The sequence below is a fragment of the Homo sapiens genome, chromosome 7, assembly GCF_000001405.40.
Source record: "Homo sapiens chromosome 7, GRCh38.p14 Primary Assembly".
Lineage (NCBI taxonomy): Eukaryota > Metazoa > Chordata > Mammalia > Primates > Hominidae > Homo > Homo sapiens.
This window is the reverse complement of record NC_000007.14, coordinates 4,872,162-4,898,952: the sequence shown is the minus strand read 5'-3', so window position 1 is coordinate 4,898,952 and position 26,791 is coordinate 4,872,162. Positions and strand designations below refer to the sequence as shown.

Here is a 26,791-nt window from a genome sequence, read left to right as displayed (position 1 = left end):
TTGCTTGCTTGCTTCCTTCCTTCCTTCCTCTGTCTCTCTTTCTTTCTTTTTTCTGAGACAGAGTCTCACTGTGTTGCCCAGGCTGGAGTGCGATAGTGTGATCTTGGCTCACTGCAACCTCTGCCTCCTAGGTTCAAGCAATTATCCTGTCTCAGCCTCCCAAGTAGCTGGGATTACAGATGCGTACCATGGAGCCCAGCTAATTTTTGTATTTTTAATAGAGACAGGGTTTCGCCATGTTGGCCAGCTGGTCTTGAACTCCTGACCTCAAGTGATCTGCCCACCTTGGCCACCTCCTGAAGTGCTGCAATTACAGGCGGGAGCCACTGCGCCCTGCCCAAACGCCTCATTTCTTAATACCATCACCTTGGAGTTAGGTTTTCAACGTAGAATTTGGAGGGACACAAATCCCAGCACCATCCAATCTTATCCTATCCTATCCTTCCCTACCCTATCCTATCCCATCCCATCTTATGTCATTGTTTCAAATTACTGGTTGCAACCCACCAAATGATGTTATGACCCATGAGTGCGTCTAAATCCTAAGTTCTGAAAGCTGTTCTTAGTGGTACATTCCCAGAAAGCCATAGTTGTTGGTAATCAGTGCTTAGTGTGTATTTGCTGCAATTGGCAGGGCTCAGCATGGTGTCATACCTTGGGATCCAGAGTGCCCCCAGGCCATGTGGGGACAGGTAAGGAGAAAGAAATTAGGAGCTTCCAAGAATCTGGTTACCCAGAACCCTGACCCCACTAGGAGGAATACAGGATCACATTTTATGGCCTCTTGTCTTTGTGATGGCCCATGTTCGTGGGGGACCTTGAGGCTAGGTGGTCCTAGAGACCCAGTGGGCAGCGTGGCCCTGAACTTAAGCCAGCATTAGGTCAGGAGGGTTTAGAAGGCAAGAGAAAGAGATAGGCCGGGTGCGGTGGCTCACACCTGTAATCCCAGCACTTTGGGAGGCCAAGGTGGGTGGATCACTTGAGGCCAGGAGTTTGAGACCAGCCTGGCCAACATGGTGAAACACCATCTCTACTAAAAATACAAAAATTAGCCAGGCATGGTGGTGGGCACCTGTAATCCCAGCTACTTGGGAGGCTGAGGCAGGAGAATCTCTTGAACCCGGGAGGCAGAGGTTTCAGTGAGCCGAGATCACACCATTGTACTCCAGCCTGGGTGATAGAGTGAGACTGTCTCAAAAAAAGAAAGAAAGAAAGAAAGAGATTAAATACACTGGAGAAAGGAAGGAGGGCACCCAGTGTTGGAAGGGCTACTCTGCCTCCATCAGCATTTTCAAATTTCAGGCTCTGGCCTTTCACCGAATGCACTTCCCACCAGTCCTGTTTACACTGCCAGGTTCCGCTAGGAGCTTTCCCACCTCTGCAGGTGCAGGCCTCGCTGCTTCTTAAGGCCTTTCTCTGGGGTGGGAGGAAACGGAAACTGTATGATTGTCTTTCATATTCACTTTTATAGACCTATAATGTCTACAATGTCTGAGAGTGGCGTTTGCGGCATGACTTTTAAAAAAATGTCCTGCTGGTATTGGACCCTTTCTGTGTTTGTGAAATTGCTATTTTGTATTAACACAGTATTTGATAAACATTTATATTAAGAAGAATAATCCCTCTGCTGAATATTATTGTTTCCAATGGAGTAGAAAGAACTTAAAAAAAAAAATCAAGATGTCTCACTCTGGCCTAATTGTCTTTTTTTTTTTTTTTTTTTTTAAATATAACACCTGCCAATTCTTTTTATAAAAGTGATCTCTGTTCACTGTAGAAAATGGGATAATTAAGGCCGGGCGTGGTGGCTCATGCCTGTAATCCCAGCACTTTGGGGGTGCTAAGGAGGGGGATAACTTGAGGTCTGGAGTTCCAAACTAGCTCAGTCAACATGGCGAAACCCCGTCTCTACTAAAAATACAAAAATTAGCCGGCTGTGGTTGTGGGTGCCTGTAATCCCAGCTACTCCAGAGGCTGAGGCAGGAGAATCACTTGAACCCGGGAGGTGGAGGTTGCAGTGAGCTGAGACTGGGCCACTACACTCCAGCCTGGGCTACAGAGCGAGACTCTGTCTCAAAAAAAGAAAAGAAAAGAAAAGAATAGAGAAAAATAAAGAAAGAAAATGGGATAATTATTGCTGATATAAATGGGGGTGGAGTAACACTAAAGAAAAAAACAAAATGGGGTATTTAGAAAAGACAAAGAAAATGAAAACTCCTGTATTAGCTCTCTATTACTGCATATCATAAATTATCCTAAAATAGTGGCTTCGAACAATAGTCATCTATGTCTTTTGTGGTTTTCACGGGCCAGGAATTAGAGTCTGCGGCTCAGCTAGAGGAGGTGGAAATGGAGGCTGGAATCAGTTGAAAGCATGTTCATGCACACATCTGTTGGTTGATGCTGGTGGCTGGCTAGGGACCCAGCTGGGAAAGTTGGCCAAACACCTTGTTTTATTTTATTTAATTTTTTTGCGACAGAGTCTCGCTCTGTCACCCAGGCTGGAGTGCAGTGGCACAATCTGTGCTCACTGCAACTTCTGCCTCCCAGGTTTAAGCAATTCTCCTGTCTCAGCCTCCCAAGTAACTGGGACTACAGGCATACACTGCCATGCCCAGCTAACTTTTTGTATTTTAGTAGAGACAGAGTTTCACCATGTTGCCCAGGCTGGTCTCAAACTCCTGAGCTCAGGCAGTCCACCCGCCTCAGCCTCCCAAAGTGCTAGGATTAAAGGTGTGAGCCACCACCTGGCCTATTATTTATTTTTGAGACAGGAGAGCAAGGCCCTCTCTCAAAAATCAATAATAAAAATGTAGGTTTTACCATTATTCAGGTATGGTGAGACCAACAGATCACAGGTGACAACTGCCGCCAAAAACATCGTTTGTTACTCACAGATCCCAAAAGGAGGGGACACATCATACCATGCAGGGTCATGTGGGGAAGCACTAGGCTTCGTCAGGAAGGAGTGATGGGAAAACGTGGGCAGGAGTCTTTGTCATGATTCCCGGGAAGGAGTGAGCAGGGCACGCTAAACAGGCTTAGAATTTGATAGTTGAGTAACTGAAGCAGGTTCTGGGGTGTACAGGTTGTCCTGATGATACAGAATGCCTGGGCTCAGCCGGGCGCGGTGGTTCACGCCTGTAATCCCAGCACTTTGGGAGGCCAAGATGGGCAGATCACGAGGTCAGGAGTTCGAGACCAACCTGACCAACATGATGAAACACGTCTCTACTAAAAATACAAACATTAGCCAGATGTGGTGGTGCGCGCCTATTATCCCAGCTACTCCGGAGGCTGAGTCAGGAGAATTGTTTGAACCCGGGAGATGGAGGTTGCAGTGAGCTGAAATCTCGCCACTGCACTCCAGCTGGGGTGACAGAGCGAGACTCCGTCTCAAAAAAAGAAAAGAAAAAAAAAGAATGCCTGGGCTCCTGGCTAAACTCCACCCTCAAGCCTGGAACCTCAGCCCTAAGTCAAAACCGCTGACCCCGTTTCTCCACACCGCAACCCCGCCAAATAATTGCCATTTTGGCCCATCCCACCCCTAGCCTGTGTCCATAAAAAGACTTCAGCTGGCTGGGCTCCGTGGCTCGGGCCTGTAATCCCAGTACTTTGGGAGGCCGAGGAGGGCGGATCACCTGAGGTCAGGAGTTTGAGACTAGCATCGCCAACATGGCAAAACCCGTCTTTACTAAAAATACAAAAATTAGCCAGGCATGGTGGTGGTCGCCTGTAATCCCAGCTATTCAAGAGGCTGAGGCAAGAGAATCGTCTGAACCTGGGAGCGGAGGTTGCAGTGAGCCGAGATTGGGCCACTGCACTCCAGTCTGGTGACAGAGCGAGACTCTGTCTCAGAAAAAAAAAAAAGACTTCAGCTGGCTGATGCAAGCAGTCGGGGATGCAAGCGGCTGAGCGTTGGGGATACAAGTGGCTGAGAGTCAGAGACTACGTTTAAATGAGGCTAACTTCAGACAGTGCAGCTTCCAGCAAAGATCATTTTCTTCCCACAGGATCCCCTTTCCAATTCCCCATGGATGGCTGAGAGCCACATCCATCACCCAATAAAAACCTCCACATACACCACCTACCCTTCAACTTGTTTGGGTGACCTGATTCTTCCTGGACACGGAACAAGAACCTGGGTGCCTAGAGGGCAGGGGCGTAGAGGCTGCTGCAGGGTCCTCACAGAGCCTGCTCCCACCAGAGACAAATGACTGGCCGGTTCCAGCGTGGGTTCCCTCTGGTTCCTGCACTTGCTAGCTTGCAAGCTCCCTCTCGAGAGGAGTGGCCAGGGGCGGGCTGAGTGAAACAATCCATTCCAGTTCCCGCCCACGAAGGGAGTCAAGGTCAAGGGAACTATCCCATCTCATTGAGATGTCCGGTACCTGGCCCTGGGGTGATTAGGATGGGGGAATATTGGACTGGAATCTGATGGCCCAATAGAGGAGGTGGAGGGGGTGAGCTGTGATCGCTTGGTTTGCATATGAAAGGCACGCTTAAAAGCCACTCTGTTACTATCTCTAGGAATTGGCTACTCCTGCGAGGGGTAGTCCCTCCAGGATCAGAAAGGCCCCAGGTATCCAAACAAACTTTTTATTCTATCAGAAATAACTGAAAAGACAGGCTTAATATACATTCACATGTGACTTCTGCGTGTGGCCTGGACTTCCCCATGTGGCCTGGACTTCCTTACAACATGGCGGCTAGGTCGTAAGGCAAGTGTCTCAAGAGAAAGAAAGAGCCAGCTGGGAGACTGTTGCCTTTTATGATCTGGCCTTGGAGGTCGTGCATCATCATTCCTGCCATATTCTTTGGTCAGAGGCGTTTGAACCAGAGTGACTCCATCTTGAATAGGGGCTGAGTAAAAAAGACTGAGATCTACTGGGCTGCATTCCTAGGAGGTTAAGGCATTCTAAGTCACAGGATGAGATAGGAGGTCAGCACAAGATACAGGTCGCAAAGACCTTGCTGATAAAACAGGGTGTGGTAAAGAAGCCCACCAAAACCTACCAAAACCAAGATGGCGAGGAAAGTGACCTCTGGTCGTCCTCAATGCTTACACTAATTATAATACATTAGCATGCTAAAAGACACTCCCACTGGCATCATGACAGTTTACAAATGCCACGGCAATGTCAAGACGTTACCCTATATAGTCTATAAAGGGGAGGAGCCCTTAGTTCTGGGAATTGCCCATCCGTTTCCTGGAAAACTCATGAATAATCCACCCCTTGTTCAGTATATAATCAAGAAATAACTGGGCCGGGTGTGGTGGCTCATGGGTAATCCTAGTGCTTTGGGAGGCCGAGGCAGGCACATCACCTGAGGTCAGGAGTTCAAGAGCAGCCTGACCAACGTGGCAAAACCATGTCTGTACTAAAAATACAAAAATTGGCCGGGTGTGGTGGTGCATGTCTGTAATCCCAGCTACTTGGGATGCTGAAGCATGAAAACTGCTTGAACCTGAGAGGTGGAGGTTGCAGTGAGACAAGATTGCGCCACTGCACTCCAGCCTGAGTGACAGTGCTAGACTCTGTCTCAAAAATAAATAAATAAATAAATAAATAAATAAATAAATAAATAAAAGAAATAACCATAAAAATAGCCAACCAGCAGCCCTTGGTGATGCTCTGCCTATGGAGTAGTCATTCTTTTATTTCTTGACTTTCTTAATAAACTTCACTTTACTCTGTGGGCTCTCCCTGAATTCTTTCTTGGACGGGGTCCAAGAACCCTCTCTTGGGGTCTGGATCGGACCTTTCTGGTACCACTTTTGCTCAAGGCAGCTGCAAGGGTCCTGCTAGCTTCAAGGGGAGTGCGTGTAGACCCCATTCCCCCACACCTGATAGAGGTACATCCACTCCTCTTACAGCAAGACGAGTGCATAGGATGGGATCTATGTATTGAGGTGGCTATCTTAGAAACCGCAATTAGTCAGCTGGGTGCGGTGGCTCGCGCCTGTAATCCCAGCACTTTGGGAGGTAGAGGCGTGAGGATCATGATATCAGGAGTTCGAGACCAGCCTGGTCAACATGGTGAACCCTCACCTGTACTAAAAATACAAAAAATTAGCTAGGTGTGGTGGCACGCCTAGTAGTTCCAGCTACTCAGGAGGCTGAGGCAGAAGAATCGCTTGAACCCAGGAGGCAGAGGTTGCAGTGAGCCAAGATCACACCACTGCACTCCAGCCTGGACGACAGAGCTAGACTTCATCTCAAAAAACAAAAGAGAAATTGCAATTAGTCATAAACTCTATCACCTAGAAATCAACACTCTTAGTATGTTCTACCTGTCCTGCTTGCACATCTTTTAATTAATTAATTTTTTCAGATTTATTTATTTATTTATTTATTTATTTATTTATAGCAGAGTCTTGCTTTGTCACCCAGGCTGGAGTACAGTAATGCGATCTCGGCTCACTGCATCCTCTGTCTCCCAGGTTCAAGAGATTCTTCTGCCTCAGCCTCCCGAGTAGCTGGGACTACAGGCACCCACCACCATGCCCAGCTAATTTTTGTATTTTTAGTAGAGACGGAGTTTCACCATGTAGGCGATGCTGGTCTTGTACTCCTGACCTCAGGTGATCTGCCCGCCTTAGCCTCCCAAAGTGCTGGGATTACAGGCGTGAGCCACCGTGCCCGGCCTTGATTTATTTTTTATTTTGTTCTTTTAATTCACAAATAAAAATTGTTTGTATTTATCGTCTATGGCGTGATGTTTTGAAATATATATACACATGGTTGAATGGCCCAATAGAGCTAATGAACATTTGCATTATCTCACTTAATTATCATTTTTCATGGTGTGAACCAAAAGTATCTGAGACAGGTCTCAATCCATTTAGAAAGCTGATTTTGCCAAGGTTAAGGATGTGCCTGGGACATAGCCTCAGGAGGTCCTGACGACACGCGCCCAAGGTGGCTGGGGTACAGCTTGGATTTCTACGTTTCAGGGAGACATGGGATATCAATCAGTATGTGTAAGATGGACAGGGGTTCAATCAAGAAAGGTGGGACAACTTGAAGCAGGGGGCGCTTCCAGAACATAGATAGATATAGATAGATAGATAGATAGATAGATAGATAGATAGATAGATAGATGATAGATTAGATAGATAGATAGATACATAGATAGGTAGGTAGATAGATAGATAGATAGATAGATGATAGATTAGATAGATAGGTAGATAGATACATAGATAGGTAGGTAGATAGATAGATAGATAGACAGGTAGGTAGGTAGGTAGATAGACAGATGATAGATTAGATAGATAGATAGATAGACAGACAGGTAGATAGATAGATAGATAGATAGATAGGTAGATAGGTAGGTAGATAGATACATAGATACGTAGATGATAGATTAGATAGGTAGATGATAGATTAGATAGATAGATAGATAGATAGATAGATAGATAGATAGATAGATAGATGATAGGAGACAAACAGTTGCATTCTTTTTTTTTTTTTGAAATGGAGTTTCGCTTGTGTTGCCCAGGCTGGAGTGCAGTGGCGCAATCTTCACTCACTGCAACCTCCGCCTCCCGGTTCAAGAGATTCTCCTGCCTCAGCCTCTCGAGTAGCTGGGATTTCAGACATGCACCACCACACCCAGCTAATTTTTTGTATTTTTAGTAGAGATGGGGTTTCACCATATTGGCCAGGCTGGTCTCGAACTCCAGTCCTCAAGCGATCCACCCGCCTCGGCCTCCCAAAGTGCTGGGATTACAGGCATGAGCCACCGCGCCCAGCCTCATACAGTTACATTCTTTTGAGTCTTTGATCAGTTTTTTCACTGGATACACAATTTACATGTGAGAGTTGGGTAGACGAATAGTCATTTATGCCTTAGATGGGCTTAGTGAATCTGCCTTTTTTTTTTTTTTTTGAGACAGAGTCTCGCTCTGTCACCCAGGCTGGAGTGCAGTGGTGTAATCTCGGCTCACTGCAAGCTCTGCCTCCCGGGTTCACACCATTCTCCTGCCTCAGCCTCCAAAGTAGCTGGGACTACAGGCGCCCGCTGCCACGCCCGGCTAATTTTTTGTCTGTTTAGTAGAGACGGGGTTTTACCGTGTTAGCCAGGATGGTCTCGATCTCCTGACCTCGTGATCTGCCTGCCTTGGCCTCCCAAAGTGCTGGGATTACAGGTGTGAGTCACCGCGCACGGCGAGAATCTGCATTTTTATTAATACATACTAGGGCAGAGGAAGCAATCAGATATGCATTTGTCTTCAGTGGGCAGAGAGATGACTTCGAGTTCTGTCCTTTGTCCCACACCTGTGAAGACCAGCTGTCAATTTATGTTGCCGGGGGAAATTCAACAGAATTGTTTTAGGGTAAAGATCTTGAGGCCCACAAGGAATTTCCTTGTGGATAAATTGTGAGGGAGGTATGTAGCTTTTTTTTTTTTTTAATCTTTGTAGCTATCATTTAGGAATAAAATGGGAAGCAGGTTTACCTGAAACAGTTCCCAGCATGACTTTTCCCTTTGGTTTAGTGATTTTGGGGTCCAAGATTTATTTCCCTTTCACAGTGGTGAGATTGCACATCTTTTAAAAAACATCTTGGCCAGGTGTAGTGGCTTACACCTGTCATTCCAGCACTTTGAGAGGCCGAGGCAGGAGGATCACCTGAACCCAGCAGTTCGAGACCAGTCTGGGCAACATAGCTAGACCCCATCTCTACAAACAATCAAAAATATATTAGCTGGGTGTGGTGGTGCATGTCTGTGGTCCCAGCTACTCAGGAGCTGAGGCAGGAGGATTGCTTGAGCCCAGTGAGCTATGATTGCACCACTGCACTCCAGCCTGGGTGACAGAGTGAGATCCTATCTCTGAAAAAACAAAGTGGGCAGACATAACGATGTCCACCATACAGAGTGGAGGTGGTGTTTAGTTCTGTCTGGCAGATTGGATGATTTGTTCACACATCTTTCTTCCTCCTCATCCCAGACATGGCCACTTACCAGCTTGGGAAGAGCATGCTATCCTGACCCCTGGACGTTGAATAGGCATGTGATTTGTTGCTTTTTTGTTTTGTTGTGTTTTTTGAGACAAGGTCTTGCTCTGTTGCCTGGGCTGGAGTAGAGTGATGCAATCACAGCTCACTGCAGCCTCCACCTCCTAGGCTCAACTGATCCTCCTACCTCAGCATCCTGAGTAGCTGGGACTACAGGTGTGCACCACTACATCTGGTTGATTTTTGTATTTTTTGTAGAGACAGGGTTTCACCATGTGGCCTAGGTTGGTCTTGAACTCCTGAATTCAAGTAATCCATCTTCCTTGGCCTCCCAAAGTGCTGGGATTACAGGCATGAACCACTGCACCTGGCCATGTGATTTGTTTTGGCCGATGAAATGTCGGTGGATCTAACATTAGCAGATGCTTTAGATAATCTCATGTGGTTTGGCTTGGCCTCTTGCATCTCTGCCATCTATCACGAGAAGACCATGCCCCTGGTAAGTGCTGCTCCCAGAATATGGAAGCACGTGGAGCAGATCTGAGCCCAAACTTTGCCAATTCAAACCCAGCTTTCTAGAGCCACAGGCAACCCGCAGGGCTTACCTGCTCTCAATGTTTTGAAATAAACTTTGAAATTTTAGAATAGTTTCAGATTTAGAGGAAAGAAGATGAACCTCAAAAACTATGCCAAGGGAAAGAATCCAGACACAAAATGTCAAATATTGTATGACTCCACTTACATGAAATATCCACGAGAGCTGTGGCCACAGAGGCAGAAAGTGGATTGGTGGTTGCCGAGACCCAGGGGCAGGAGAGAATGGGGCGTGCCTGCCTAGCTGGTGTGGTCTCTCCTTTGAAGGTGATAACAATTTTTTTTTTTTTTGAGACTGAGTCTTGCTCTGTCACCCAGGCTGGGGTGCAGTGGCATGACCTTGGCTCACTGCAACCTCTGCCATCTGGGTTCAAGCGATTCTCGTGCCTCAGCCTCCCGAGTAGCTGGGACTACAGGTGCGTGCCATCACATCTGGCTAATTTTAAAATTTTTAGTACAGACAGGGTTTCACTGTGTTGGCCAGGCTGATCTCGAACTCCTGATCTCAAGTGGTCCTCCTGCCTTGGCCTCCCAAAGTGCTGGGATTACAGGCATGAGCCACAAGCACTGCTATTTATAGGTGTGGAGGGCCTGAAGAATGGAATCCAAGGATTAAATCACTTGTTCTGCCACACCCCTCTAGGGATACCAGATGTAACAGTCTGGGAAGGAAAGGTTGGGATCTAATGCTCCCTGTGCACCTCCTAAAGCCTGCCTCCTCTCTCCTCTGGGCCCCGAAAAAGCCCAGTCTCTGCCCCTGGACGGCCATCCCTTGGGCACCGGAACTTTGGACCTTAACCAGATCCCTTTCCCCTGGGCTCAGGTCCTTTCCTGGAGTCAGTTGCCGGATTCTGTCACTCTCTGGTGGCCAAGCAGGAGAGCTCAACACTCTATTTTTGGCCAGTGGATTTCCAAAGATACTTAACCCGACAGTTCAAAAACTGCCCAGGAGCCAGATGCTGGGATACGGAGATGAATACAGCTTTGGACTTTCCCTGGAGGGAGGGGGTGAGAGTGGATGGAAATCTATTCCTTCATCTACTCATTTAACAAATATTTATTGAGCACTGGCTAGTTGCCAAGTATAATAGTAAACAAGACACATGAAGCCCTTGCTTTCCAAAAACACAAATTCTAGTGTGTGTTAAATACATAAGCAAATACATTGACATGGTGATAAACTCTATGAATTAAATAAAACAGGTGGTCAGGTGTGGTGGCTCACACCTGTAATCCCAGTACTTCAGGAGCCGAGATGGGAGGATCGCTTGAGGCCAGGAGTTTGAGACCAGTCTGGGCAACATAGGGAGACCCCATCTCTACAAAAAATAAAAATAAAAAAATTAGCCAGGCATGTAGTCCCAGCTACTCAGGAGGCTGAGTTGGGAGGATCACTTGAGCCTGGAAAGTCAAGGCTTCAGTGAGCTATGATTGCACTATTGCACTACAGCCTGGGCAACAGAGCAAGACCCTATCTCTCTGTCTCATGCTCTCTCTCTCTCTCTATATATATATATATATAAATTATATATTTATAAATATATATAAATTAAATCTCTCTATATTATATATATGTATAATATATATATGTATAATAAAATCGAGAATGACTCGGGGGTGATGGTCAAGAGGTGGTCAGAAGACAGGAAGGGAGATGAGTTTCTGCGCTGGGAAGGGGCCCAGCATGAAAACACAGAGGGAAGGCTGTGGGGTCAAGGAGACCAAAGAGGAAAGGTCTCGGAGAAGGGAGATGACCTCAGAGTGCTTGAGGAAAGAAGTTCTGAGGGCTGGAGATCCAAGGCCAAGGAAGAGAGCAGTTGGAGCTGGGTTTTGCAAACCTACTTTATTCTAAGTGCAAAAGGAAAAGTTATGAGAGGGTTATAGGTGGAGGAGTAATAACATCTGGTTTAGGTTTAAGGAACATAGTGTGATTGATGTGGACTTGCTTAATAAAAAGGTAACAAAAATAAAAGACTGTGGGCGCACACAAGAGGACATGTAACCAGGTCTAGGAGACAGGAAGATCTTTCTGGATAAGGGGTATTAGTTATCCATTGCTACGTAACAAACTGCTGCCAAAACTTAGTAGCTGAGGTCAATAATAAACATTTATCAGCTGGATGTGGTGGCTCATGCCTGTAATCCCAGCACTTTGGGAGGCTGAGGTGGGTGGGTCACTTGAGGTCAGGAGTTCGAGACCAGCTTAGCTAACATGGGGAAACCCCATTTCTGCTAAAAATACAAAATTAGGTGGGGGTGGTGGCAGGTGCCTGTATTCCCAGCTACTCGGGAGGCTGAGGCAGGAGAATCACTTGAATCCGGGAGGTGGATGTTGCAGTGAGCTGAAATTGCACCACTGCACTCCAGCCTAGGCAACAGAGCAAGCCTCCATCTAAAAAAAAAAAAATTATCATCTCATAGTCTTTGAGGGTTGGGAATTTGGGAGTAGCTTTGCTGCAGGGAGGAGGGAGCTTTTTTGGCTCAGGGTCCTTCAATGGACTCCAGCTGGGATGTCTGTCACCTAAAGTCTCCTGGGGCTGGAGGACTCACATCCACCATGGCTCACTGACCTCAGAACTACTGATCTAAGAGAGAGCAAGGGCAGAAGCCACGTCTTTTATGATTGTGTTCCAGAAGTCACAGTGTCATTTTGGCAGTATCTTACTGATTACACAAGTCTGCCCTATTCAACATGGGCCTATACAGGAGCATGAAAACCAAGAGGTGGGAATCACTGGGGCCATCTTGGAGGTTGGCTACTACCAAAGAAACGCCTTATCTGAGTCTCAAAGGATGAGTAGAAATTAGCGGCCGGGTGTGGTGGCTCATGCCTATAATCCTAGCACTTTGGGAGGCTGAGGCAGGCAGATTGCAAGGTCAGGAGTTCGAGACCAGCCTGGTCAACATGGTGAAGCCCCATCTCTACTAAAATTACAAAAATTAGTCAGGCGTGGTGGCAGGTGCCTATAATCCCAGCTACTCAGGAGGCTGAAGCAGGAGAATCGCTTGAACCTGGGAGGCAGAGATTGCAGTGAGCCAAGATTGCCTCACCGCACTCCAGCCTGGGCGACAGAGCAAGGTTCCATCTAAAAAAAAAATATATATATATATATATACACACACACATTTGAAAAAAAAGAAGTTAGCCAGGTAATGAAGTTTGCTGTTATGGTCTGAATTTTGTCCCCCTAAAATTCACGTGTTTGTTGAAGCCCCGACCCCTCACACCTCAGAATGTGACTATATTTGGAGACAGGGCCTTTAAAGAGGTGATTAAGATAAAATGAGGCTGTTAGGATGGGCCCTAGTCTAATCTGACTAGTGTCCTTATAAAAAGAGGAGATTGAACACACAAAGAGACAGGTGAGAGGTGCACACCCAGAAGAAAGGCCATGTGGGGGCACAGCCAGAAGGTGGCCGTCTGCAAACCAAGGATAGAGGCCCTCAAAGAAGCCAAACCTGCTGACAACTTCACCTTGGACTTCCAGCCTCCAGAGCTGCCAGATAAAACATTTCCGTTTTTCGAGCCACCTGATCTGGCATTTTTTAATAGCAGCTCAGCTAATCTAATACAGTTGGAAAAGGTGTTTGAAGGTCAAGGGACCGGCCTGAGGGAAGATCTCGAGGCATGAAACAGCATATTCATACCAAAAAGTCAGCATTTCTAGATCAAGAAGCAATCTGAAAAGTTTCTCTATAAAGGGCCAGGTCATATTTTAGATATTTGGGGCTGTAAAATCCTGGTTGCAGGAAAGCAGTCGTAGATAATATCTAAACAAATGAGGGTAGCTGTGTTTGAATAAAACTTTATTTACAAAAACAGAAGGCAGCCCAGATCTGGCCCATGGGTTGTAGTTATCCGACCCCTGTGGAAGAAGGATGTGGGGACTGTGGGAGATGGGCCAGGAGCAGGGTGAGGAATATCTCAGGAGGAAAACCCAGGCCTGAACCCAGGCTCTCCTTCAGCTCTGACCATTGTCTCTTCATGCGCACCTGAATGAAATATTCAAGCACGTCATTCCTTTCAAGCATCCCTTCCTGGGGTAGGCGAGGAGGTTGGTGTGTATACAGAGGGTCCTGTATTCCTGGCTCAGTTCTTGTCTCTACCTCCAGCAGCCTGACCTCTCTGCGTCTCTATTTTCTCATCTGAAAAATGGGAGTATTACTGAACAAAAGGGTTCTGCGCTTGCTCTGCTAGAAGCCAATCTTGATCAGGTGCAGAGGTTCATGCCTGTAATTCCAGCACTTTGGGAGACTGAGGTGGGTGGATCACCTGATGTTAGGATTTCAAAACCAGCCTGGTCAACATGGCAAAACCCCGTCTCTACTAAAAATACAAAAATTAGGTGGGCGTGGTGGTAGGTGCCTGTTAACCTTAGCTACTCGGGAGGCTGAGGCAGGAGAATCGCTTGAACCTGGGAGGTGGTGGTTGCAGTGAGCTGAGATCACACCACTGCACTCCAGCTAGGGCAATAGAATAAGACTCTGTCTCCAAAAAAAAAAAAAAAAAAAAAAAAAAAAAAAGCCAATCTTACTGCATTAAGTTTTTGAGACAAAAGCTTTTTTTGTCCGTATTGTGAGTTGATCAATAAGGAGACAGGAGCCTGGCTCAAATCTGTCTCTCTGTGTTGACTTTGAGGCACTATTTTTTATTAGAAAAGGTTTAGGAGGTGGACTTTAGGATTAGCAGGTGATAGGTGGAGGAAAGGGGAGGCCTGGAATGTCTCAGACATCTCTGTCTCACAAGAATTGATGTGAGCATTAAGTGAGGTGACCTAGGTAAAGTTGCCTAGGGCCTGGCACACAGGTGGTCAATAAATGTCTGTTCCCACACTCATCAATGTCTGCTCCGACCTCCATCGCGAATATGGGGTCATGACTACGGAAATCATACCACGATAGCTGTCCACAAAAAGGTTCACTCCCGAGGCCCACATTCTGCATATTGATATTCCGAACCACCTGAATCTCCCAGGTCTAGCCCACATTCCTCAAAGGGAAAACCCCAGCCAAAGTGCCGAGGTCACGAGCTGCTTTTTAAACAAGTCCCCAGGGAGAGCAGTTGGGGCCAGAGCCCCAGAGCTGACCTGGTCATTTTTTTGCATAATTGTAAGCAGGAATGCCATGACCTGATTTGTCTTTTAAAACTCTGGGTGGGAGACAGATGGTAGGGGAGAGGAAATTCCTCCCTTGTTCCTTTTCGATGTCTTAGAAGATGTTTATTAATTGGGGGCACAGCTCTACCCTCCCCTACACCCACTCACTGGGCTACTAGAAGGTGCTGTCTCGAAATAGCCCACCCAACCGCAGGAGCCCAGAGCCCACAAGCAGCTCAGGGACTTAGAACTGGTCCCACCCTTCCTCCGGGGACCCCCCCTCCTTAAGCTGCAGTCTGTGGGTGGGCTGCAAGTCCCGCCTCTCCACAACCAGCCCCACCCCTTTCTTCAAAACCCCGCCTCTCCGGTGAGGCCCCGCCCCCTCGAGGCTGCATCCCCGTCCATTGGGCGGCCGGCAGGAGGCGCCAGAGCACAGCCCGCCTTTTCTAGCAGGTTGGCCCCGCCCCTCTCCTGGAGACCCCGCCTCCTCGAGGCTTTCTTTCTGCCTATTGGGCGCCGAGGCCCAGCTCCAGCCCACCTGTTCTCCCCCGCCCCACCCTTTGTGGCCCCGTCCCCTTGAGGCCCCGCCCCGCCCGTTGCGCCGCCGGCAGGAGGCGCCGCGGCACGCGCGGGTCTGGGCGCCGGCCCCAGCCAACGGCGGGTGGGAGCAGCGCGGGAACGTGGCGGCGCGGCGGGTTGTGCCGGAGGTGAGTGTGGGGTGCGCGAGGAGTGACTGCGGAACCGGGGGTGGCTCGTAAGGGGCGCTGCTCGGCCGCTGCCGGGGACCTGGGGCGCGGAGGCCGCGGGGCGCGCTCGGGGACACTCCCGGCCGCTGGTCGGGGCGCGGAGGGCAGGTTTGCCCAGTTGCCATGGGAACCGACTGGCTGTCGGGCCCCGGCCTGGACCGGGGGGCGGTACCCGGAGGCCGGCTAGCGCGGGCAAGGGCGGCCCAGCCTGCGGGGATCCGGGGGTCCGCGCTGCCGACCCCCGAGAGCTCCTGAGCCTGGCTGTCCGCGTGGGCCCCGGACCCCCAACTCCAGGGGACTCTCGGCCCTCAGTTTTCCCGGCTGTGCCCTGGAGGGGGAGCTTCGTCCGGGGCGCGCAGCGGGGGAGCGGGGCGCAGCGGGGGAGCGGGGCGCAGGGTTCCGCGCGCTCTCCCACCTGGGCCGGCGAGACGTCCCCTGCACATACCCCGTCCCGGTTGCAGCCCGATCCCCACTCGTGCGCCAGCTCAAAGCATTGTTTCCCGGCTATTTATGTACCATTTCCAGCCCCTCGACAAATACTGCATCCAAGATAACAGATGCTGAGCCGAGCTCCTGGGGCCTCGCAGGAGGAGCCTGTTGGTGGGGTTGGCAGGGCCCTGGCGGGGCTGCGGACCATCCTGCCCTGCCCTGTCGCCTGTCAAGTGTTTGGCTAATCTGAATTGCACAGAAGAATCTGATTGCTCGTGTCCCGCGGTTAATATAGGCCACCTCTTGTGCATTCCAGACAGGAACCAGTCTTGAAAGTCCCTTTTGCTGGGGGGCAAGTCGGTCTCCTCTCCAGCAGCTAGCAGGTCAGAATTAAATCTGATTGAATTATGTTTGCATTTGAAAGCGTGGCTCGGGCTGGGGCTGTAAAGATAGGATTCATGGAAGGAGGGGAGAGAGCTGAGTGTGTAAAGTCTGCGCTTCGTTTTCCCTCCTGCTGGAAATGATAATGGGTTCCACATTGTCCTGTTGGAGCAGAGAGGTCGCTCCACCCATGTCGTCAGCGCAGCACTGACCTCACTCCCTGTACTCGCCGCTGGGACTTGAGCTTGTTTTTCATCAGAAACTGGACCCTTCCTTGAGAACAAGAGAAAACATTCTCTAAGAGCAGCACCAGCCAGCGCCCCACACCCTCGCTGTCCGAGCCCTGCGCTTTCCCCAAGTATTTGTGTCACAGAGGAGCGAATGGGGCAGAAGAGGCCGGTCGCACTTCCAGAAAAACAGATCTTGTTACCCAGGGCGTGCTCCGCCCGGTCGGATTTTCCTGCACTCCCCTTGGCCTTTTAAAAAACGAGTCCATCCCATTCTCACAAACAGGCCAGGCTCCGCCTTCTGGGATTCGGAAGCGGGCAGCGTGTGAACAAGTGGGCACCCTCTGGTCTGGCCAAGGGAGGATGACCAAACGGAGAGAAATGCTTTCTGAAAATCCCAAAACAGATAAGGTTTGTGTAACAGGGACTTCTGGGGGCTTAAGAAGGAGTTATTGGAAAGGAGTCAATCATATTCTCTCTGCTTACATTTTCTCCTGTTTCATGATACTGCTAACTCTGCCTCTGCCTTCGAATCCGGCTCCGGAAACTGTGGGAAAAGCAGGGGTGGGGGGAAGTGGGGGGAACAACATTTCTGAAGTTCAAGCTTCTAAGACCCTGGGAGGAGACCTAGCAGTTGTGTGTTTGTAATTTTCTATTTGTTTTTTATTAAAGAAGAATTATGTAAATGTCAGACCTTACAAAACATATATCCACCCCTGGGCCCCAAATATCAACTCACTTTTCCATTGTATTTGGGGGCCTTTTTATAATTTTTGTCTTTTTTTTTTTTTTTGAGACGGAGTCTCACTCTGTTGCCCAGGCTGGAGTGCAGTGGCGTGATCTCGGCTTGCTGCAACCTCTGCCTCTGGGGTTCAAGCGATTCTCCTGCCTCAGCCTGCCAAGTAGCTGGGGTTACAGGCACCCGCCACCATGCCCAGCTAATTTTTGTATTTTTAGTGGAGACAGGGTTTCACCATGTTGGCCAGGCTGGTCTTGAACTCCTGACCTCAAGTGATCTGCCCGCCTCGGCCTCCCAAAGAGCTGGGATTACAGGCATGAACCACCATGCCCAGCCAATTTTTGTCTTTTTTTTTTTTTTTTTTTTGAGAGGGAGTCTCACTCTGTCGCCCAGGCTGGAGTGCAGTGGCATGATCTTGGCTCACTGCAAGCTCCGCCTCCCGGGTTCACGCCATTCTCCTGCCTCAGCCTCCCGAGTAGCTGGGACTACAGGTGCCCACCACCACGCCTGGCTAATTTTTTGTATTTTTAGTAGAAAAAGGGTTTCATAGTGTTAGCCAGGATGGTCTCGATCTGCTGACCTCGTGATCTGCCCGCCTCAGCCTCCCAAAGTGCTGGGATTACAAGCGTGAGCCACCGTGCCCAGCCATCTTTTTTTTTTTTTTTTTTTTTTTTTTTTTAACAGAGAGGGTCTCACTCCATTGCCCAGGCTGGAGTGACGTGGCGCAATCATAGCTCACTGTAGCCTGGAACTCCTGGGCTCCGGTGATCCTCCTGCCTCAGCCTCCCGAGTAGCTGGGACTACAGGTGCACACCATGCCCAGCTAATTTTTTATTTTTATTTTCTGTAGAGATTGGGATCTTGTTATGTTGCCCAGGCTAGTCTTGAACTCCTGGCCTTAAGCCATTCTCCTGCCTTGGCCTTTTAAATACTTGGCTCTGCTTCATGACTTTTCTGTGATATGGGCTTTCTCCTGCCTGGAGGGGGCTTCCCCAGTTTTTGGTATCGTATTTATATCAGCATTCAGACTTCATCTCCGGAGGCAGAGGTTTCCTGAGCCACAGCTGCCTGGTGGCAGAGGCTGTACCATCCACCACCTGCACTTTGCCTTTGCACCCTGGGGAACCCGTTGGAAATGAGCACTATGAAAAGGTGGTGGCCGACCCTCTGCCAGTGTGTGCTGCCTGGAGGCTTCTAAGCCTGGGGCATCTGGAGAGGTGCTTTGGAGCAGGGTTGTGCAGCTCTCATGGATGGTTAATAAGTGCCGGCTGGAGAGGCTCTTTGAGGGGTTTTGTTCTGTGATTCCAAGTACTCACTTTGAAAACTGACCACAGGAGACTGAGGTCAGACTAGAGGGCGATTGGAAGCCGCTGGTGTGGTGTGCACAGGCCAGGCCGCACGTTTGTGATGTGAGCACTGTCTGAAAATGCTTTTGTTGTAAATGAAACCGAGGCCTTTGATGAGTCCGTGGGGGAAGCTGCGGCCGGCTCTGAGCTTCTTAGGATTTGACAAGGCCACTCGTTGCACCTTCCTCAGAGGAAGAGAAACAAAGGCTTTGCTCCTTTACTCCTTTATGGCCTGGCTCGATGGAACCTCAAGGCTCCATCTGCTTATGACCTGTACTGGGAACTCCGTGACCTGTTACAGCAAATTCACCTCTTCAGAAAGCCAGGCACAGCGAAAGCCTTTGCCGTGGTGAAGTGTCCGCAGTGGGCTATAGGAACAGGAGAAGGGCCAGCCACCCACCCCGCAGGGCAGACGTCCGCGTTGGGAACCCAGTCTCTGGTGTGCGAAGCTGTCGGAAGTATTTCTGAAGAGTTCAAGGTCCTCGGAGAAAGCACAGCTGCTGGCTGACCTGGGCTGGTTCTGGAGGAAGCGAGTGGTGGTCTGATTTCAGGACTCACCCATGACAGCTCTGGCGGGCAGTGAGAGGCTCCAGAGAAGATGACCCACGCCCCGGTGATATTAGAAAGAGGCCAGTTCGCAGTGTCAGCTTTGGAGGCTGGGGCGGTTCCACTGTTTAGTTTCCTAAGGGACAGTGTGGCTCCTTTTCTTTGGAGGGGTTCCCTGGTTGCTTTCTGTGGCCCTAGGCAGCCACCGTCCTTTCCAGAAGCCTTTTGCAGCGCCCGCAGCGTGACGAGTGAGTCAAGCCTGGACAGTGACAGTTGGCTGCTGCGGTGTTTAGTACTGACCCCGGTCGCAGTGGCAGGCGACCCGTGCTGTGTTCACTGGGACCTGGACCACTCTTTCCAGAGCTTTCCAGAAAATAGGCTTTCCTCCTGGCTCACTCGTCTGCCACCTTTGTCTTTGGTGAGAACATGAGCACGGAAGTGGGGTACAGTAATGGGGAGATGTGTGCGCAGTTTTCCAGTATTTTCCTGCCTTGCAGTCCAGCCTCACCTTTTCCAAATCGGAGACCTGCCTTCCTTTTTCTCTGCCCTCCTGCCCCCACAGAGGTTCTGGAGGGAGACTGAGAAACCATCTGGAACTCCTGGCCCTGGGCACGCTACGGACATTAGAAGTGTGATTGTATGACACGCCAACGCGTCCCAGGCTGTTTTCCCGTTTCCCCAGGAGACTGCATCTCTGTGGCCTGGAGCGCCGGGCACCCGCGGCCTGTGGTGGGCGGGACGCCTGCATTCCGGCCATGCCTGCACCGGCTCGAGAGGGGCCCTTTGTGCCCGCCGTGCTTGCGAGGCCACTCAGTGCTGCCATCCCAGGGAGTATCTCCTTCAAGCCAGGACGGGTCTCTTGCCCTGAGGGGTAGATTCTGGGGGTTTGTGTCTGGAATGTCTGATGGTCTATTCTGCCAACGTGGCTGCGATTCGCCTGTTTTCCTGGTTGCACTGTGTTTGTGACCCATTTCCCACGTCGCAGCCTGTGGGGTAGGAGACACGAGGTTTACGGAGAGGCGAAGCTTTGCCCTTGGGCTGCCCGCTGCTCTTCTGTGGCTGTGATGGTGCTGGGGCCGGCTCCGGGTGGGGCGCTCCTTGATGCTCACTGCACACGGGCGCTGCGCCCAGCACTTTCCAGAAATCCAAGCCCTGCAGCGGAGCGTGTCTTACTTAGGCGACCTCATTGTGTTTCCCAGTAATGGCTTTCCTTGAAGGGCGCTCCAGCCCGTTTAGTCCTCTCGGTCTCTGGTGGCCCTGCAGGCTCCAGCCACATCCTCTGCTCAGGTGCTCTGGTGTCAGGTCTGCGGGGCCAGGATGCCCACGGCCTGTTATGTCCATTAGATTTTGAGATGGGGTCTTGCTCTGCTGCCCGGGCTGGAGGGCCGTGGCACTATCATAGCTCACTGCAATCTTGAACTCCTGGGCTCAAGCCATCCTCCAGCCTCAGCCTTCAGAGCAGTGGGTACAGTGCACACCACCATGCCTGGCTAATTTTTAAATTTTTTGTAGAGCCGGGGCCTTACTATGTTTCCCAGGCTGGTCTGGAACTCCCGGGCTCAAGCCGTCCTCCCACCTTGGCCTTCTAAAGCGCTGGGATGACGGGCAGGAGTCACCGCCTGTGGCCTCATTTGCTCTTGGTGGTCACGATGGTTGGCGCTAACCTCTCTCACTTTTTCACCCAGGTCACGGCCTCCCCACATCCTTTGGCTGAAGCCCACAGTCCTCATCCATGAAGCCTCACCCACCATGTTTTATGGGACGCACTTCATCATGTCCCCGCCCACCAAGAGCAAACTGAAGCGGCAGAGCCAGCTGTTGTCCAGCATGCTGTCCCGGACGCTGAGCTACAAGTACCGGGACCTGGACTCCACCTTCTCCAGCCTGGGCGCCAGCGATGACCCCGCCGAGCTCTCCACCCAGCTGTCGGCCCCTGGTGTCCTGAAGGTGTTTGGGGACAGTGTCTGCACAGGAACCCACTACAAGAGCGTCCTGGCCACCGGCACCTCCAGCGCCCGTGAGCTGGTGAAGGAGGCGCTGGAGCGGTACGCCCTGGACCCCAGGCAGGCCGGCCAGTACGTGCTGTGTGACGTGGTGGGCCAAGCCGGCGATGCTGGGCAGCGGTGGCAGGCCCGGTGCTTTCGGGTGTTTGGGGACAGTGAGAAGCCCCTCTTGATCCAGGAATTATGGAAACCCCGAGAAGGTTTATCCCGGAGGTTTGAGCTGAGGAAGAGGTCGGACGTGGAGGAGCTGGCAGCCAAGGAGGTGGACACCATCACGGCAGGTGAGGGGGGCCACAGGTTCAGGAAGAGCCGTGGGTCTGAGCGCTGAGAAGGCCAGCCGAGGTAGGCGGAGAAGGAGTGGTGCAGGGGACATGCGTGGGGCGGGCTCGCTCTGCAGGAGGCAGTCGGAGCCCGTGTCCTGGATGTTTGAAGCCTTCCTCTTTTGTTCTCTGAGACAGGGTCTTGCTCTGTCACCCAGGCTGGAGTGCAGTGGTGCAACCACAGCTCACTGCAGCCTCCTGGGCTCAAGCGATCCTCCCACCTCAGCCTCCTGAGTAGCTAGGACTATAGGTGCACCACCACACCCAGCTAATTTTTTACTTTTTGTAGAGACAGGAGTCTCGCTGTGATACCCAGGATAGTCTTGACCTCCTGCCCTCAAGCGATCCTCCTACTTTGGCCTCCCAAAGGTTTCCTCTTAAACTCACCACTTTCACCTCAGCTGTCTGGGAAGTTGTAGTTTGTCTACGCAGCAGGAGGCTGGCTGGTGTTCCTCAGAGGCTCCTGATATATTCTTGCAATATTTGAGGCCACATCTGTTCTTTTGTCTGATCAGATTATTGTCCAGCTCTCCAGCAGTCATCTCATTGACCATAGCAACCACGCACGCCTTGTTAAATACAGGGTCCCTCCAAGTCCTTTAGCACCTGCGACCTTGTCGGGGAGTTTTTGGGGCAATGAAGTGAAAAGACAATCAAGGAATCTGTCCCAGGCCAAAACCTACGTGGCATTGCCGGGTTGCAAGGTCTCCAGAGGTGACCACGGTGCACTCAGCGTACCGCGGGTCTGTGGGTGCCTGGGTGGTGGGAGGCCTTCCTGAGGAGGGCCTGGCCACGGGCAGCCGATCATTGTCGGTCTGAGGAGTGCCGAGAGCACGGGTGGCGTTGAGTGCCTGCCGCAGAGTTTGAGAGCCCCGGGGCCTGGGGCCCACTGTGTCTGGTGATTTATTCAATTGGTGGAAAGAAGTTGATTATCTTAATAGGTGTGTGTCATAAAAAATAATTTTGGCCAGGCGCGGTGGCTCACACCTGTAATCCCAGCACTTTGGGAGGCCAACGCAGGTGGATCACCTGAGGTCAGGAGTTGGAGACCAGCCTGGCCAACATGGTGAAACCCCGTATCTACTAAAAATACAAAAATTAGCCGGGCGTGGTGGCAGGCGCCTGTAATCCCAGCTACTCAGGAGGCTCAGGCAGGAGAATCGCTTGAACCTGGGAGGCGGAGGTTGCAGTGAGCCGAGATCATGCCATTGCTCTCCAGCCTGGGCAACAAGAACGAAACTCAGTCTCAAATATAAATAAATAAATAAAATAAATTTGGCCGGGTGTGGTGGCTCACACCTGTAATCTCAACACTTTGAGAGGCCAAGGTAGGAGGATCGCTTGAGCCTAGGAGTTTGAGAGCAGCCTGGGTAACATAGTGAGGCCCCATCTCTACAAAAAATAAAAAAATTAGCCAGGCATGGTGGTGCATACCTATGGTCCCAGCTCCTCAGGAGGCTGAGGTGGGAAGATGGCTTGAGCCGCAGATGCTGCAGCCAGGATTGTACCACTGCACTCTAGCCCAGGCAACAGAGTGAGACCCTGTCTCAAAAAAATAACAATAAAAAGAGTAACTTGTGGTTGCTTTAATTATGGCTCTTAAAGTCTGCTCAGACAAGCACCCCCAATTGCCTGCACCTGGGGATCCTTCCTCCACCCAGAGGTCGCCACTTCTGGGATTTGGTTTTCATCCTGACCCTGCCATGTCACGATCCAGTGGTCCCTTGGAAGGACCGGTGATCCGGTGGCAGAGATGGGGTCCCTCCCCTCCTGATTCAAAAAGACCTCCTGTGAGGCCAGGAAACCCGAAAGGGAGGAGGCGCATGGTGGGATGTTTTCTGCACGGGAACAAAGGCTCTTCAATGTCAGACACAGAATTTCGGTCATTCTTCCACCATGCGTTGCCTCTGCCAAGCAGCGGGCAAAAAGCGAGTGGGACAGGGCCACCTTGGGGCTGCAGAGCACGGGCCAGGGTTGCTGCTGTGTGGCTGGGGATCAGCCTGGCCTGTCCTCAGGCCATTGCGTTGTGTGTCACCGGGCGAGGAGGAGCCCTGGGAAGGCCCGCCGTCTTCACAGGTGATAGGCGACTGCCAGTGTAGGATGGTGGGGCCAGAGTGCATGTTGCAGGAGACAGGAGCTTGTCTGAGGCTCACGTGCTTCTTTTTTTTTTTTTGAGATGGAGTCTCTCTCTGTCGCCCAGGCTGGAGTGCAATGGCATGATCTCAGCTCACTGCAACCTCTGCCTCCCAGGTTCAAACGATTCTCCTGCCTCAGCCTCCTGAATAGCTGGGATTACGGCATGCACCACCACCACGCCCGGCTAATTTTGTTGTTGTTGTTGTTGTTGTTGTTGTTGTTGTTGTTGTTGTTGTTGGAGATGGAGTCTCGCTCTGTCGCCCAGGCTGGAGTGCAGTGGCACAATCTCGGCTCACTGCAAGCTCCGCCTCCCGGGTTCACGCCATTCTCCTGCCTCAGCCTCCCGAGTAGCTGGGACTACAGGCGCCCGCCACCACGCCCGGCTAATTTTTTGTATTTTTAGTAGACACGGGGTTTCACCGTGTTAGCCAGGATGGTCTCCATCTCCTGACCTTGTGATCCGCCCGCCTCGGCCTCCCAAAGTGCTGGGATTACAGGCGTGAGCCACCGCGCCCGGCCAATTTTTGTATTTTTAGTAGAGATGGGGTTTCACCATGTTGGCCAGGCTGGTCTCGAACTCCGGACCTCAGGTGATCTGCCCACCTTGGCCTCCTAAAGTGCTGGGATGACAGGTGTGAGCCACCACACCCGGCCAAGCTCATGCACTTCTTTTGGAATCATTCCTGTTAAATTATTCAGGGCGAGCGAAAGCACCCCTGCTCACAGCCTGTCTAAGCTCGTGGCGGTTTTCGAAACCTGCCAAAGAGAGTCCATCAGGCTGCCCAGCCATACTGACACACTCATCTGGGCTGGAGCAGGTTGTGTTACCTACCCAGAGCTGGCCCCCTGGGCCTCGGGCACTCATCCTTCCTTGCTGACCTTCTCTGGCTGTGGCCCAGGGACTCCTGTGACCCTCAGCCATGCCAAGAAGGTTCACTGAGGCGGCCGGGTGGTTTGAGATGGAGCAGCTGGTAGAGGCATGCACACATGCTTCTGCTCATTACAGAACGGTTATTGAGCCTCTGCCTGGAGCCGGGGGAAGGCTAGACCCAGGGGGTCCCCACGTGGATAAGCCAGGCTCCGCTGGGGATGACCCCGCACAGACCTTACTGTAGCTGGACAGCCCTGCCTCAAACAGGCCCGCGCCCAGAAGCTTTGCGCTAGAGTGTGTTCGGTTGTTGTGGTGACACATGGGTACCTGGACAGAGAAATGTCCACACAGGTGCTCACACACACAGTCTCCCACTTGGAACTGTTCCCTGCGTGAGACACCTGCACGGCCTTTCCGTGGGTTGGAGGCGGCCTCTGTGCACATCCCTGGAACCCGCCTCTGAGAGGTCTCTCCTGCTGGCTTGGAGGCACGGAACGGGGAGGGCACTGAGCCTTTGCTGTGTCCCACGTCCCCCTGAGTGAGTTTGCAGCCGGCACTAGGCGATTCCTCCCTCGCCCCTCCAAGGGGAACGACTGAGAGCCAGAGAAGGGGAGGAGGTGGGAAGCCGAGGGGTTTTTCACTGTAGCAGCTTCTCCAGCAGCCGTGGGCGCCAGCCTGCCTCAGGTTGGAGTGACGTGGAAGAATCGTGGTGGGGAGGCTTTCCTAACACCCACCGTGTCCTCTCCATTACATACCTCCGGTGATGGTGAGCTCTGCGCCTTCCAGCAGCCCGCCTGTCCTGCGCCTCCCTGGGCACCGATGGGGCTGCTGTGGTGTCTGTTTGTCCTGAGAGTGGCCCTCAGTGTGGGGCATGTGTCACCGTGTCGCTTTGGGGGAAGGTGGGGGGCTGCAGTGAAACAAATCCTACTGAAGTGGGTGGTGTAGTTTCAAAAGGACGGCGGGATGGCAGGATCACATCTGCCCCTGCAGGGCAGGCCCAGTGAGGTCCAGCGCACGCCAGGGCCCCTTCAGCTCCTGCATTCTCTCCCAAGAGGACCCAGCGTGGGGCTGTCCCTGATCCCTGGTGAGATAACAGTTCGATCTCACCTGGAAAAAGTGGCGAGAAAGGGAAGGGACCCCTGGCCTGTGCATGTGGTGATGTGATGTGCACGTGTGACCATGTGTGTGTGTCTGTGTGGTGTGCATGTGTGTGCATGCATGTGTGACCATGTACGTTTGTGTTAACGAGTCCAGCCCCAGGTTGCTCAACACTGTAACACTGTTTTTCAATAATTTCCCATTACTCCTATGGTAAGAGTCACACTTGGCCGGGCGCGGTGGCTCACGCGTGTAATCCCAGCACTTTGGGAGGCCGAGGCAGGCAGATCAATTGAAGTCAGGAGTTCAAGACCAGTCTGACCAACATGGTGAAACCCCGTCTCTACTGAAAATATAAAAGAAGTAGCCGGGCATGATGGTGCATACCTGTAATCCCAGCTACTTGGGAGGCAGAGAATCGCTTGAACCCAGGAGGCGGAGGTTGCAGTGAGCTGAGATCGCACCACTGCACTCCAGCCTGGGTGACAGAGCGAGACTCTGACTCAAAAGAAAAACAGAGTCACATTGGTTCTGGGTTGGGCTAACGGGTTGCACCATTTCAGGGGAAGCATTTCGCCAAAGTCTCTCAGGCCTCTCCCCTGCCCCTCACCTCGGACTCCCCTACAGAGTCTGGTGGGGAAGGTGTCAGCCAGGCGCTTCCTGCCGGTTCACTCATCACTTAGTTCACTGCTACCCCCCTGTAGAAATGCACGCAGGCACTTTGGGTTTTTGTTTTCCATAAATGTCTCCTTCTCATAGCCACCAGGTTCCCCCTGATTTCCAGAGTCACAAGACCTAGAGGGTCTCTTCCAGGAGGAGGCTGGTGCTGGAGGTATGGCCGGGCTGGAAGTGGCTCTCACTCCCCTTTCCTAGAAGGCTGTATTTAGGGCTGGTGCCCCACAGAGGGGCCTGGGTCCTGTCACCGAGATAAGACAGCAGCCACTTAGATGCACTGGGGAGGGGCGATGACAGGGCCATGTGGTTTTTGTCAGGGGCTGGGGAACGGTGAGGGGAGGCTTGGTTTGCCTTTGCAGGAGGGGTAAGTGTTAAACCCGCGCAGAGCCCGGGGAGGGCTGGCCTTCCTTGCTTTCTCCCTTCCTCCCGTTACATTTTAGGTTGGGGCATCTTTGCTGAGGGAGGCGTCCGTGGTTGCAGGGCGATGAGCAGTGTCCCTGGCTCCTGTGCCCCCACCCCCAAGTTGTAACAACCAAAGATGTCTGCAGACATGGCCAGATGTTCCCTGGAGGCAGACCTGCCCTCTATTGAGAGCTGCAGTATTGGACCTGGCTGCCTGGACTC

At 51.4% G+C, this 26,791-nt stretch overlaps 2 protein-coding genes across 2 annotated transcripts in view, besides 5 other annotated features; both read left to right on the top strand.

Moving 5' to 3' along the window:
* Positions 1–6,708, top strand: part of MMD2 (monocyte to macrophage differentiation associated 2) — a 66,943-nt gene extending 60,235 nt beyond the window's left edge. The window contains exon 9 of the transcript NR_072989.2: positions 6,370–6,708. The gene's annotated coding sequence lies outside the window, so the exon portion shown is untranslated. The remainder of the gene's footprint in view (positions 1–6,369) is intronic.
* Positions 15,135–15,822: an enhancer, noted in NCBI's record as "H3K27ac-H3K4me1 hESC enhancer chr7:4922762-4923449 (GRCh37/hg19 assembly coordinates)". NCBI's record gives its function as "activates a minimal SCP1, AML or CMV promoter by ChIP-STARR-seq in naive H9 embryonic stem cells {active_cell/tissue: H9 hESC(naive)}" and the evidence as "EXISTENCE:reporter gene assay evidence [ECO:0000049][PMID:30033119]".
* Positions 15,206–15,425: a silencer, noted in NCBI's record as "silent region_17905". NCBI's record gives its function as "represses an Ori minimal core promoter by ATAC-STARR-seq in GM12878 lymphoblastoid cells {active_cell/tissue: GM12878}" and the evidence as "EXISTENCE:reporter gene assay evidence [ECO:0000049][PMID:35858748]".
* RADIL (Rap associating with DIL domain) overlaps positions 15,237–26,791 on the top strand; it is an 86,662-nt gene continuing 75,107 nt past the window's right edge. Inside the window, exons 1-2 of the mRNA NM_018059.5 lie at positions 15,237–15,357; positions 20,750–21,348. Of these exons, the coding sequence (NP_060529.4) occupies positions 20,814–21,348 (535 nt within the window). The 5' untranslated portion in view covers positions 15,237–15,357; positions 20,750–20,813. The remainder of the gene's footprint in view (positions 15,358–20,749; positions 21,349–26,791) is intronic.
* Positions 15,823–16,511: an enhancer, noted in NCBI's record as "H3K27ac-H3K4me1 hESC enhancer chr7:4922073-4922761 (GRCh37/hg19 assembly coordinates)". NCBI's record gives its function as "activates a minimal SCP1, AML or CMV promoter by ChIP-STARR-seq in naive H9 embryonic stem cells {active_cell/tissue: H9 hESC(naive)}" and the evidence as "EXISTENCE:reporter gene assay evidence [ECO:0000049][PMID:30033119]".
* Positions 15,823–16,535: a biological region, named in NCBI's record as "Sharpr-MPRA regulatory region 4159".
* Positions 16,241–16,535: an enhancer, noted in NCBI's record as "tiled region #4159; HepG2 Activating non-DNase unmatched - State 21:Repr, and K562 Activating DNase matched - State 4:PromP". NCBI's record gives its function as "activates a minimal TATA promoter and a strong SV40 promoter by Sharpr-MPRA in HepG2 and K562 cells {active_cell/tissue: HepG2 | K562}" and the evidence as "EXISTENCE:reporter gene assay evidence [ECO:0000049][PMID:27701403]".